Source organism: Homo sapiens, chromosome 8 (assembly GCF_000001405.40).
Source record: "Homo sapiens chromosome 8, GRCh38.p14 Primary Assembly".
Lineage (NCBI taxonomy): Eukaryota > Metazoa > Chordata > Mammalia > Primates > Hominidae > Homo > Homo sapiens.
This window is the reverse complement of record NC_000008.11, coordinates 32,019,583-32,033,181: the sequence shown is the minus strand read 5'-3', so window position 1 is coordinate 32,033,181 and position 13,599 is coordinate 32,019,583. Positions and strand designations below refer to the sequence as shown.

The 13,599-nt window shown below is 36.1% G+C and overlaps 1 protein-coding gene and 1 long non-coding RNA gene across 13 annotated transcripts in view; both read right to left on the bottom strand.

Annotated features, from left to right (window-relative positions):
* The window catches only part of NRG1-IT1 (NRG1 intronic transcript 1), a 113,742-nt gene extending 106,296 nt beyond the window's left edge, over window positions 1-7,446 (bottom strand). Inside the window, exons 1-3 of one of the 3 annotated variants that reach the window (NR_104156.1) lie at window positions 6,818-6,964; window positions 3,697-3,803; window positions 2,723-2,806 (exon numbers count right to left, since the gene is read on the bottom strand). This is a non-coding gene — a long non-coding RNA (NRG1 intronic transcript 1). Of the gene's footprint in view, window positions 1-2,722; window positions 2,807-3,696; window positions 3,804-6,817; window positions 6,965-7,417 lie in introns of those variants that run through there. The other 2 variants (NR_104158.1, NR_104157.1) reach the window with 2 other exon arrangements.
* The window catches only part of NRG1 (neuregulin 1), a 1,134,802-nt gene that overhangs the window by 740,865 nt on the left and 380,338 nt on the right, over window positions 1-13,599 (bottom strand). The gene's annotated exons all lie outside the window — the stretch shown is intronic.

Below are 13,599 nucleotides of genomic sequence, written 5' to 3'. Positions count from 1 at the left end.
TGGAGCTTGCAGTGAGCCAAGATCCTGCCACTGCACTCCAGCCTGGGCAGAAGAGCGAGACTCTGTCTCCAAAAAAAAAAAAAAAAAAAATAGACTGCACATCCACAACCATCTGATCTTTGACAAACCTGACAAAAACAAGCAATGGGGAAAGGATACCCTACTTAATAAATGGTGCTGGAAGAACTGGCTAGCCATATGCAGAAAATTGAAACTGTACCCCTTCCTTACACCTTACACAAAAATTAACTCAAGATGGAATAAAGACTTACATGTAAACCCCAAAACTATAAAAACCCTAGAAAATCTAGGCAATACCATTTAGGACATGGGCACAAAGATTTCATGACAAAATTGCCAACAGCAGTTGCAACAAAAGCAGAAATTTAAAAATGAGATCTAATTAAACTAAAGAGCTTCTGCACAGCAAAAGAAATTTTCATTAGAGTGAACAGGTAACCTACACAGTGGGAGAAAATTTTTTCAATCTATCCATCTGACAAAGGTCTAACACCCAGAATCTACAAGGAACTTAAACACATTCACAAGAAAAAAACTAACAATACAATTGTGGGCAAAGGACATGAACAGACACTTCTCAAAAGAAGATATTCATGGCTGAGTGAGGCAGCTCATGCCTGTAACCCCAGCACTTTGGGAGGCTGAGGCAGGTGGATCACCTGAGGTCAGGAGCTTGAGATCAGCCTAGCTAATATGGTGAAACCCCATCTCTACTAAAAATACGAAAAAAGTATCTGGGCATAGTGGCAGGTGCCTATAATCCCAGCTACTTCGGAGGCTGAGGCAGGAGAATTGCTTGAAGCTGGAAGGTGGAGATTGCGGTGAGCTAAGATGGTGCCACTGCACCACTCCAGCCTGAACGACACTGTGAGACTTTGTCTCAAAAAAAAGAAAATAAAAGAAAAAAAAAAGAAGACATTCATGCAGCTAACAAACATATGAAAAAAGTTCAACCTCACTGATCACTAGAGAAATGCAAATCAAAACCACAATGAGATACTATCTCATGCCAATTAGAATGGAGATTATTAAAAAGTCAAGAAATGACAGGTGCTGGCAAGTTGGGGAGAAATAGGAATGCTTTTACAATGTTGGTGGGAATGTAAACCAGTTCAATCATTGTGGAAGATGGTGTTGTGATATCTAAAACCAGAAATATCATTTGACCCAGCAATCCCATTACTGGGTATCTACCCCCCAAGATATAAATCATTTTATTACAAAGATACATGCACGTGTATGTTCACTGCAGCACTAGTCACGATAGCAAAGACATGGAATCCACCCAAATGCCCATCAATGATAGGCTGGATAAAGAAAATGTGCTACATATACACCATGGAATACTATGCAGCCATTAAAAGGAATGAGATCATGTCCTTTGCAGGGACATGGATGGAGCTGGAAGCCATTATCCTCAGCAAACTAATGCAGGAACAGAAAACCAAATACCACACGTTCTCACTTATAAGTAGGAGCTGAACAATAAGAACACATGGACACAGGGAGGGGAACAACACACACTGGGGCCTGTCATGGGGGGCAAGAGGAGGGAGATCATCAGGATAAATAACTAATGTGGGTTGCTGCCTAGTTATAAATGAAAGTCCCATAAAATAGACCACAGAGACTGGCCTGCCATCTTTAGACATGTGGCTACAAAAAGCAGAAAGGGGGAAATAGGCAGTGTGGGAGGGGCAGCTGCCCGTGCGGGGAGGGCAGATGGCACCAGTCACGTGCAGCGAGCTGCAGGGGCCTAACAACAAAGTGAAGAGTAAGTCTGGAGTGACTGTGCAGCAGCTGCCTGCATCATCCCAGGAGAAGCTTCAGTTATACAAAGTCAAAAACTAAAGAATGGGAAAAGGCCACCTACCTACCTTTGGAAAGAGAGATGGGCCTGAGGTCCTGGGGTGGCCTGGGCACAGAGGCTGCTGCCCATGGAGACAGAGCCTGGTGATGGATGGTAGCCATGGTAGCAGAAAGCTTATGACAATGTGATGCTAGCACAAGGGGCCTGTGCTGATGGCCTAACCCCAAACAGACCACGGCACCACCTCCCCAAAGAGACAGCTGCCATCAGGGAACCACTGAAATGACTTGAGAGCCAGAAAGCAGTTCTTCTTGTAGCCTTTAGGGTCTTCTATGATCCCGCTAGAGGGGCAATGCAGTAACACAAAATAACTGATCCTACCAGATGAGTTGACCTGGGGAAGTATCTTTCATTGAGTTGTTAGTATTATATGCTGGCTGTTTATTTATGTCTTGGGGGCTTGCATTTTATTTAAAAATAATTCCCTGACTAGAATTTTGTTTTTTAAAAGGAGGGAAGCTCTCAGCATTTTGTTTGACCCGTCTCCCTGCCTTTGCTCCATGCTTCTAATCTGAAATGATGCTAAAGCATGGCAGACGTATGCTGGGAACTTATTCCTTTAGTACTGCCAACTCTCATTTGTTTGAGCCACAGACTTTGTGAAGGGGATTAAGCAGAGGCAAAGGGACAAGAATAATTCTGCATATGATCATCCCCAACGGAGTCTCTAAAGGATATGGTCCCCTCTGTAGCTATGGAGTATTCTTTAATAGGTTTAAAAAAAATCATCCTCAGTAGTAAGTGAATATTTTATTTCACATATGAAAGAGGCTGAGGAAAGGGATAGAGTTGAAAAGGTGAAAAAGTTGCTTAAAATAAGGTAATTTATACCTTAGAAGCAAAGACAGCATCGGGGTGACTTTAGCATCAGTGTCTGGCCAAAATCTACTCTTTGTCTTCAAGTTTATTCTTAGCCTAGGAAGAGCAGAATAGCCATATTCCTATACTGATGGCATTTCTGAGATTCCCAAACCCAAATTGTCATCATATGATTACACAGATCCCCATCCTCTCAAATCAACCACATAACATTAACATGCAAGGCTGCCCCTAGGATTCACTGCCACTACAAATGTTAACTTTCACATATGTAGTATGACAGATCTAGAGAATGAAGATCTTCTTATGTGCACTGTATTTTGAAATGTATCAATGAGTCATAGTATAGACATATATTTATTATTCAAACAGTATAAACTATAATAAGTAATGATGATTGTGAAACCTATTAAATTATTGTAAAAATATTAAGGACTTTCAATATAAATAAGTAGGCAAATAGTTTAATAGTTATAATGAATATAAAGAGAATGTTTTATATAACTTTAAAAAGAAAAATATTTAGAGTCCAGAGATGTTCATTAAATTTTAAAATGATAATACAAAGCTGAATACCAGATATTAGATTATATCAGAATTTTAAAATTTGTGGCTTTTTTTTTTACAAACCAGCATTCATAATTTTAAACATAATTATTATTGAGACAAATTCAATTGTTAAGTATTTAATACGATTCAGGTCATGAGGCTTTCAAAATGTTTCTGCTTAGTAATTCTTCACATAGGTAATGTTAAATCGTATCAGATGTGGGCTTTAGAAACCTCGATATGAGTCCTAAGTAACAAAGTAAAACCTAACTTAGTACTTAAACAATTTGAAAGCTTAAATTAGGAATTTGCCTTTGTAACAAATAGTAAAGTATCAGCCAATCACAGCAGCCTAGCTTCAGTCAATCAACTGTTCAAACCATGTTCAAACAAGGCAAAGGCTGAGCTGTAACCAATCAGCTATCTCTGAATCTCACCTCCAATTTCTGCACCTCATTTCCATTTTCTGTCCATAAAACATTTCGCACCACATTGCAGCCTGGGAGCTCCTCAGAACTGTTTTGGTTCTAATGGCTGCCCGATTCTGGAATTGCAAGTAAAAGCCAATTGAGATCTTTAAATGAAATGTGTTGAAATTTTGTCTTTTTATAATAAGAATATATTAACAATGGCAGAATGTTAACTTTGCAACTCAAAATTTCATTAGTAGGAAAAACCACAAAATTGTGCATAACATTTAAATCATATTTGATCCCCACATAATCCAGAATATGAGAAATGCAAAGAAAAATGTGTTAGAGAAAAATGAGGTACGCAAATAATACTTTGTTTTCTTTAATCAAATTTGAAAGCAACAGACTTTGATAGAATGACTTAGAAGACACTTTCCTAAAGTGTGTTAATGAAGGGGAAGGTTTTAACAAAAACCTTGTTAAAATGACTACCCATAGAGATGAATGCCACTTTCAGGAAGTAATGATATTCTTAAATCAGTATACACAAATTATGAATCCTGCTACAAAATTATTTCTGTTCCAGTAAAAAATATTTACTAAAAAACTTTTTCATCACTCATTTCACTATGAATAGGAAGGTTAGTGATGTTATTAAATGTATCAATTGAAAGTGAGTATCTATTTAATACTGCAAATATCTCATGTTCCCCTTTCCACTGCAGGAAGAATCTAGCAATTTATAATCTTGAAAAAATATTCTTCTTGCAGTTTTTGAATGTCTAACTTTTGAAAGTTAGTGAATGAAATCATTAATTAAAATCTATAGTTATTAATTTTAGCTATTATTCCAAAACTTCAACTTCACCAACCCAATATTTATTTTAGCAAGACATTTAACATTCAGTTATTCAGTACACTACTATAAGATGACCTGAATGTTAATTCCAAATGAAATAAAATAATGCAAAACCCTGAAATGGTCTTGGAAAAATACATAGGCAAAGCTCTTATTATACAGATGAGGAAACTAAGTCCAAAATCAAATACTAAATGGCTGAGCTGATGCCATCATTCAGTTCTTTAATATTTCTGTCCTGCCATTTTAACATTAGGTCACATTCATCCTTACAATCAGAAAATTATTTGAAAAATTCTTATATTTTTCCATTGAACCATAAACCATACATATCAGAAATACCAGTTTAATTCTGAGATGCACAGTCCTAGTCCCCTAAAGTTTGGTCATTAGAAGAAAGAAACCACATTCAGGAATAGTGAGGCCAAAAAAACGGTATGGACACAAGTCCTTTGCGCAATTTTCTTTCCCTAACCATGAGAGCCATGTTCTTAAAGATTTGGGTGAAAATTAATGAATTAGTAATATAAAAATAGTAGTAAAGAAACTGATTATATTTTTAAAATGTTAGACAAACTATAAACTCTAGTTGATTAAGAACCACAATTTAGAAGTCACTGCTCCCTAAAAGTCATGGCAATGAAATAGAGGGAAAAATAAATGAAACTTTACCCAAGCAAGAAAAATGTCCTTTGTTTTTTAAGCCACTGTAATTTGTAGCTTTTCTGTTAGTTTAGTTTAGCTGCTCCTACCCGGAATGAAATAGTGGCTTAAGTCTCTTTGAAGAGAGTGAAGATTCAAGAATACACAGCAAATTTGAGAAATTATTCATTTATAGTATTTCCCAGGGGATTGGACAAAAACCCCTCTCCCATTGCACAGAAAAAATATCTTAGGAGACAGAGAAAAGGCTGCAGAGTATCTAAGACTAGATCCCTGCCTTCATCACCCAGTATTCCCATAGATTACAGACAAACAGATAATCCATGAAAGTAAATTCAGTTCTCAGACTGTATATTAAGTAAAGAAAACAAACAGTATGGTGAGAAGAGAGTCAAGAGGCCACCTACAATATATCCCACCTAACTTGGCATCTTAGGGACACACAAGCATGAGCAAAAAGAAAAGAAAACGCTATGGCAACTATAAAATCCTCCTAGATTAGGGAGGGAGGGAGGGAGGGAAGGAAGGAAGGAAGGAAGGAAGGAAGGAAGGAAGGAAGGAAGGAAGGAAGGAGGGAAGGAAGGAAATTTATAAAAAACATACAGATTTAGCAAATTAAAATATAAAAATAGAGACACCCAGCTCAATTTGAAATTCATATAAGCAACAAATAAATTTTAGCATATACATGTCCTAAATATTCCATGAGACATCTTTATACTAAAAAGAAATATTCATTGTTTGGCAAAATTATCACAAGAAACATAAAAATACTACTCAACCCTACTTGAAACTACCCTACTCACAAACTCATGAACCAACCTACTCAAAACTACTAATTCTAATATAATGTAATATAATAGAGGAATGTAAGTTCACTAAAACAAAATTCAAAGACAAAATAATAGAATAACAGAATTAGATGATAAAGGAGAGTACCGATATAAGGGGGAAAGAACTCAAAACAATAGCCTTATGAAACTAATACATAAATTAGAAAAACAATGGATGCAATTGAAAATTAAGTTACTGATACAGAGAAATGGGGATTAAGATAATTATAGTGAAGGAAGATGAACAGATAAGGAGATAAAAGCAATTAGAGAAAAGTGAATACTTTAAACAAAAAAATCCAACACAATGTTAACAGATATTCCTGAAGTAGAGAATTTAACAAATGAAAATAAATATTTATTCTAAGATCTAATCCAAGAAATTTCCTGAAAAAAAGCTAAGTAAATCTTTAGGTTGAAGGAGCACTCTTTCTAGAAAATGTGGTACAAAACAAACCCTCAATTTCTAGACCTAACTAAGTTAAGCTATTATGTGTTAAGGGTAACTTATTTTTAGGCATCTTGGGACTAAAAAGCCAATCGCCTATACGGTAGAATAACATTAATTTTATTTCAGATTTGTTTTCAGTAAAGTTGACTGCAAGAATAAAATGGAAAATTCTCCACAAATTCAAGGAAAGAAAATGTGAAGGGAGAGTATTATATGCGCCCAAGGCATGATGAAAGTAAAAAAGTAACAAGTAAATATTGTCAAGTAGGAAAATAATTCATAGAAAAAGACCCATGTAAGCCCTTCTTGGGGGAAAAAATAAGCAAAAAACTACTTTACCACAAAATCCAGCCAAAGAGATGAATTCAGCTAAAAATTCAAGAATGGAAAGTAGCCCAAAGACTGAAGAGTTGTGAGCACTGAATCCATTTGATTTTATTACCGGTAGTAGTCAACTGGGAAATGTGGTTACCATAGAGATTGCACAGGCGCCTGTAGTCCCGGCTACTCCGGGGTCTGAGGCAGGAGAATGGCGTGAATCTGGTAGGCGGAGCTTGCAGTGAGTCGAGATCCTGCCGCTGCACTCCAGCCTGGGCGACAGAGCGAGACTCCGTCTCAAAAAAAAAAAAAGAAAAAAAGATTGTATATGCTCTAAACTTAGTAAATGTAAACCTAACTGATAAAACTAATAGAAAGTGAAGCAGGGAAAGAGGACCTGAGACCTGTGGCAATATCTTCACTTTTTTTTTTTTTTTTTTTAGACGGAGTCTCGCTCTCTCGGCCAGGCCGTAATGCAGCGGCGGGATCTCGGCTCACTGCAAGCTCCGCCTCCCGGGTTCACGCCATTCTCCTGCCTCAGCCCCGAGTAGCTGGGACTACAGGCGCCCGCCACCAGGCCCGGCTAATTTTTTGTATTTTTTACTAGAGACGGGATTTCACCTTGTTAGCCAGGATGGTCTCGATCTCCTGACCTCGTGATCCGCCCGCCTCGGCCTCCCAGAGTGCGGGGATTACAGGCGTGAGCCACTGTGCCTCCACTTTTATGAGAGGGAGTCAATTGAGCTTGATAGGTTAAAATAAAAAAAAAAAAAAAAATCGACTTCCATGTTTTTCAAGTTAACTTTGGATCTTTTAGAAAAAGATACGTCTTAAGGTGAAAATAAAACATTTATTTGAGGTCAATAGTTCCTCTAAAAGCAAAATTTCAGTTTTAACCTTCTGTTAAATTAAAATATCAATTATACTATGATCTTACTGTCTGCCTACATCGATGCATGTCTATATATCCATCTATCCATCAGTTCATCCATCTTGCCATTATTTGATCCAGAAATGTACAAAGAAATATATCATAGAATTTTATGTATCTAATGGTAATTGTGAGTCTTTCTCTGTGGTTTGAGACTTTTTTTTTCTTACTAGTTTGATGCATTGTTTTAATTGTTTTTAGCAAAACAACATAATGAGTTTTGCAAAAGAAAAAATGTAAGCAAGCAAAAATGACCAGATGGTAAGTCAGATTAATTCTGAAAAATAGGAATGTAGATTAATTACATTTTAACCTACATATTTCAGCATTTTTAATATTTACAAAGTAAGATGCTCCCTTGATCTCACCAGAGAAATATAAAATGAAAAGTGACAGATCTGTCTCCTCCAACATCCCATTCCCATTCTTCAGAAGTAACCACTGTTAATTGTGTACTCTTCCTTCTAGAAATTTTATTTGTATGTATTAATATATACGTAGACATAGATACAGATATATCTTTTTTATATAATCAGGATCAAACAATTCTCAAATTCTTTCTAAACAGGTTAAAAGACAGTATATAAACTGAATTAATTTGCTTACTGTTCTTTATTTTCTCTATACTTTTGGGATCATTTTCACTCACAGGTTCAATGAAATGGTGGAAAGTTCCTTTTGATCTGTAGGAGATAATACATAATTAAAGAATATTTTACTTCTTATTCTTTTGTGACTGGCTTTCCATTCAGATTTTCAGTTCTTTCTTGATTTCATGTTTCTGAATTTTTGATTCCAGCTTTCTGGCTCCCGCAGGAGTCTCAGAGATGCCAATTTACTATGGTGCTTGGTAAAGATGAAAAATCAAGCTTGAGGTAATTTTTATTTAATAAATCTCCATTGGCTCCAAAGGCTATTTCCCAGCCATCTTCCAAAATATACATAGTGTTATGTAATATTAGTTCCACTCACGATAACTCCATGCCAGAGCACATTAGAACACAGCCAAACACTGTAGCCTTGCTTCCTTCCTCTGCCCTTCCGCTCCCCTTTGCATGCTACGTGGTTTCCCACTCTGTCCACCACTCAAAACTTAGAACTGTAGTTCCAAGGCTTGGGCTCATTTTCATCTGTTTTCTTGAACTCAAAGGCTCACTTTGCAACTTTCCACTCACTTCCCTTTAATACAGCAGTGATGCTCTTACAGTTTTGCAGAGGAACAAAGTATAAGGCTCTAACTCTCCCGATTCAAGACATGTATGTAATGGAAGTTTTCAACTGGAATCAAATTACTGTATTAGGCAGGATCACAGAATGTAACAGGAACTGCCTGAGAAACTGCTTGGAAACTACAGTTTAGGCAGGGCAATGAAGCCCAGGATTGCTCCCAAAAAGGACCTGAAAGACCCATTGATAAGAGGCAGCAGCCAGTGTAACCTCTTGGCCGCATAATGTTAAGTGCTCTCTTCTGCCTCCTGCTAGGAGTTACTTTTCTATGTTTGGGATCCAAACTAACCCAGCGGTATTCCAATGCAAGCAGGGAAACAGGTGAATGTCAAATCAGTGCTGGCTGCAAGGTCACTCTCTCACAGCTCATGTTCTTTTAGGGAGAGTTACTGCAAATCTGCAGCTACGCTCTTCTGCCAGTCCCTATTTGATCGTAATTAAATGAAGCTTGAGAATCCTGCCTCAAGCCTTTTCTTTCTTCCAGAGAAGGCTGAGTGTTGGTTTCTCCACTGCCAGGCATTCTCTCTCCTGGTGTTTTTGAAATCTCAGGACCAATGGGCGTCTGTCTGGGACAAGGCACCACTTCCCTCTCCTTAACCTTTCCCCTCACAATCTGGAAGGACTGGAGCTGCTTCTGATTTTCAGTCCCAGCAGCTGGCCACCAGTGGGTTCACCTCAGCCATTAAAATGCCAAGTTGAGTTTCTGCAGAAAACCTGGTGACGCTTTGGCCTGCAGCTGCAAGTGGAACAGATGAACTGCTAGCCCAATGCAGAGTCGTTCATCATACTTACTTGCAGCTGTTCCCAAGTTCATTCACTTCCTTTCCTGCACATTCCAGGATTTTTCTTTGCGGCACTATAAATCAAGTTTCATTCCACTTTTGTGGAATTTTCACTTTTTGTATTTTAAAGGAAAACTTCGAAACTCAATGTCTTATAACATCCTTCTACTCTTGGCCATTTCTTGAACTGCGTTTCCAGGAAATCAGAACAGTGTGATTCAGAAGGAATTTGAAGGGAAATGTAAGGTAATGTGTGTAAAATTACATTACATAACTAAAATCAGTTAAATGTTCCAAATGCAAGCTCTAATGATTCCCTGAGATGGGGTGCAGGTAAATATCCAAATCACTTGATATACATGATTATGAATTAATTTCCAACACTGAATATATGCACATAAATATGTTGCATATGCATCCGTCTCAGTAGAGTAAAAAATCAGATGATTTATTTTATGGTACAAATATATGATAATCCAAAAGGTTGTGCTGAAACAAATTTTGAAATCTGTGCTCCCGTGCACATTAAATGGTGAGTCTGTTAAATCTCCTTATTGTTGAGTTATAGAGATAATAGCATTTAGCACAGACTCTGTGGTTCAATGATTAAGTGAATTAAAACAAAATGTTCAAATATTGAGGTATTGTGGACTCATTCATTTCATACATGAAATGATTGTACCAGGTACAGTGAAAAAAATATATACAATTATGAGGTCTTGAGCTACAATTATTTTTTATCTAAGGACTAACATTAAACAGGTCCAGTTGATTGTATACGTCATATAAAATGGAGTTGTCAATTAATGTGTCAATAAAATTTCAGATAAACAATGTCCTATTTACTCTGAATAGTTCCCTCTCCCTTGCTGTTAGTAGATTGCATTAGATTTTAGAATAAGTTGCATGTCTTGTAATTTGAATATACTCTAGACCACTTAATAGAGCTCTCTGATACTAGATTTACCTTTAAGTATCAAAATTTCAGCATTACAGGTCTATTTGCATGTGTGGCTCATGTAAAATAAATCATCTGATTTTTTAAGCTTGGCATAGAGGAAGAAATAAAGGCTCTGGTAACATGACTGACAGACTCACTGGAAGCAGTCCCATCTATGTATTAGGCACATTGATTAATAAATACTTTCAAGTGAATTAAATGAAGAGTTAGAAGATTCAGAGAACGCTCTGACTTAAGCAATAAGTCAAGCAAAAAACTCTCTCTTTACCTAATGTCTACCTCTGAAATTCACAGGGACAATTTTACCCTTTGCATAGAGGACTTAAAGCCCATAAATAACAGTCGTGAGATTAAATGCCCTTTAGTATATATGACTAAGAATTTATAAAGGTATAGTTTAAGACCTGATATAACAACAACAACAACAACAAAATACCTGGAAAGTTTCACTTATAAAAGTGCTCAGACCCAAATCTAGAACAATAAATAGAAAAACACCAACCACTTCTGCCTCTGAGAGCCTCCAAATTGCCATTGATAACTATGGATATCTGGCAACTCAGTTAATTTACAGGTAAGAAAAAAAGCAAAAGAGAAGAAGGAAGAAGGAAAGGAAAAAAATGTTAACATTATTTTCACTATGTTGTGCAATTAATGAAAATAATACCAATGAATATTAATTTGCATTCTATTTTAAATTTAGGGTAAATGTTGTATGTCCATGCAGCCAGGTAAAAATAATTTGAGTTAATAAAATATTAAGATTGATAGATACATTTTTTATGATTCTGAAGGCTTTTAAGTGTTGTGCTATGTCTCAAAGTTATATATGTTCACATGTCTGGTTACACATTAGTAGAGCTTTTTCAACTTTTTGCAATGCTTTGAATATGGTTGGTTTGTTCTCATCAAAACTCATATTGAAATTTGATCCCCAGTGTGGAGGTAGGGCCTATTGGGAGGTGTTTGGGTTATGAGGGCAGATCCTTCATGAATGGCTTGGTGTTGTTCTTCTGGTAGTAAGTTCTCACTCTCGCAAGACTAAACTAAATTAGTTCTTGAGGAAATGGGTAGTTTCCACCAGAGTGGGTTGTTACAGGGCTAAGATGCCTAGCAAACTTTCCCCTCTTCACACATGTCTGCATCCTCTTTGACCTTCTCTGTCATGTTATGATGCAGAATAAAAGCCCCTGCCAGAAGCCAGGGTCATGCCGTTGAACTTCTCAGCCTGCAGAACTGTGAGCTAAACAAACTTCTTTTCTTACAAATTACTCAGTCTCAGGTGTTCTTTTGTAGCAATACCAAACAGACTAAGGCATTTTTTCTGAAAAAAATAAAAATCAACTTTGAATATACTTGGAATGTTAACTATAGCAAAATTATGGCAAAATGTAGTGCTGTTTAAATGGCAGCTTAAACATATAACGCAATTTCAACTTTGAAAATAGTAATGGACTTGTTTTCTCTAAAGCAATAAACATATATTTATTGAGACAAGGCATTATGCTAGTTGCCTTAAGAGATTCAAAGAAATTTAATACAAATACAGGCTATCTTTGAATTTGTGTTCATAGTGTAGAGTAGAAGCAATTCATATAAAAATTGCTTAAAATTTAAAGCAATACATGGTAAATCCCAAATAAATGAATAGAAACTAAAGCATTATAACAGTTCATAAATTATACTTTCCTAACAAATATTTTCTAGAGTTGAAAGTGAAATACAAAGGTATTCTGAAATGCAAGTGTTTGCTTTATAAGTAATGAAATATTTGTTATAAATTATCCTTTTCAGCAAGGAAGAATCATGTAGAGGCCAAAGAAATTCAATTAAGCTTGAAATAGCCAAATGTACATTGTTGTTTTACTAAATACAAACTATGGTTTCACTAGAGAATTAATAACATGATACCATAGACTGAGTGCATTTCTGATGGTGGGGACAAGACAAGGATGTCTATTATCACCCATTCCACATTATACTGGAATGAAGCATTGCAATAAAGCAAGGAAAGGAAATAAAATGTACAAAAATTGGCAAGAAAAAATAAAACTATCATTATTTACACATAACATGGTCATAAACAATACTAAAGAAACAATGACTAATAAGGGAAATTAGTAAGGTTGCTGGCTAGGCCAACATACAAAAATTAATTGTATTTCATATCCATGAATTTCATATAATAATAACAATTATAGTGAGATAAAAATACCATTTAGCATAGCATCAAAAACAAATACTTAGGAATAAATCTAATGAAACATGCATAATACATCTATTCCAAAATAGAACACATTAGTGAAAGAAATGAACTAACTAAATGCAGATGTTATTCCATGTTAATAGGCTGCAGAACTTGATATATTGTTAAGATGTCAATTTCCAACAAACTTAAACTCATCCACGGTTTTAATGCAATAGCATTCAAAACCCCAGAAGATTTATTTTGGGGGGTAGGCATGGGGAGGAGGTTGTCAATCTGATTCCAAATTTATTTAAAAATGGAAATAATGTACAATAACAAAGACAATCTTAAACATGTACAAGAAGCTGGAGGAGTTTGATAATGAGTAAAGATAACAGAATAGACCAAACGAGCATAATAAACTACAGAAATAGACCTGGAGACCCACAGGTATATGGTTTATGATATAGTCACCACTGCAAATCAATGGGAGAAAAGGATAGTCTTTTCAATAAATGGTACTATAGCACTGGTTATCTGGTACTATAGCAACTGTGTGGAAATAAAAACCTTGGTCCCTGTTGCATATCATAATTAAAAGTAAATACCAGGTGGATACAGATCTAAACACAGAACTAAAACACCAACCATCTAGAAGAGTAGAAAAATATCTTTGTGATTTGGCAGGTAAGCAAAGTTTCAACAAACAAACAC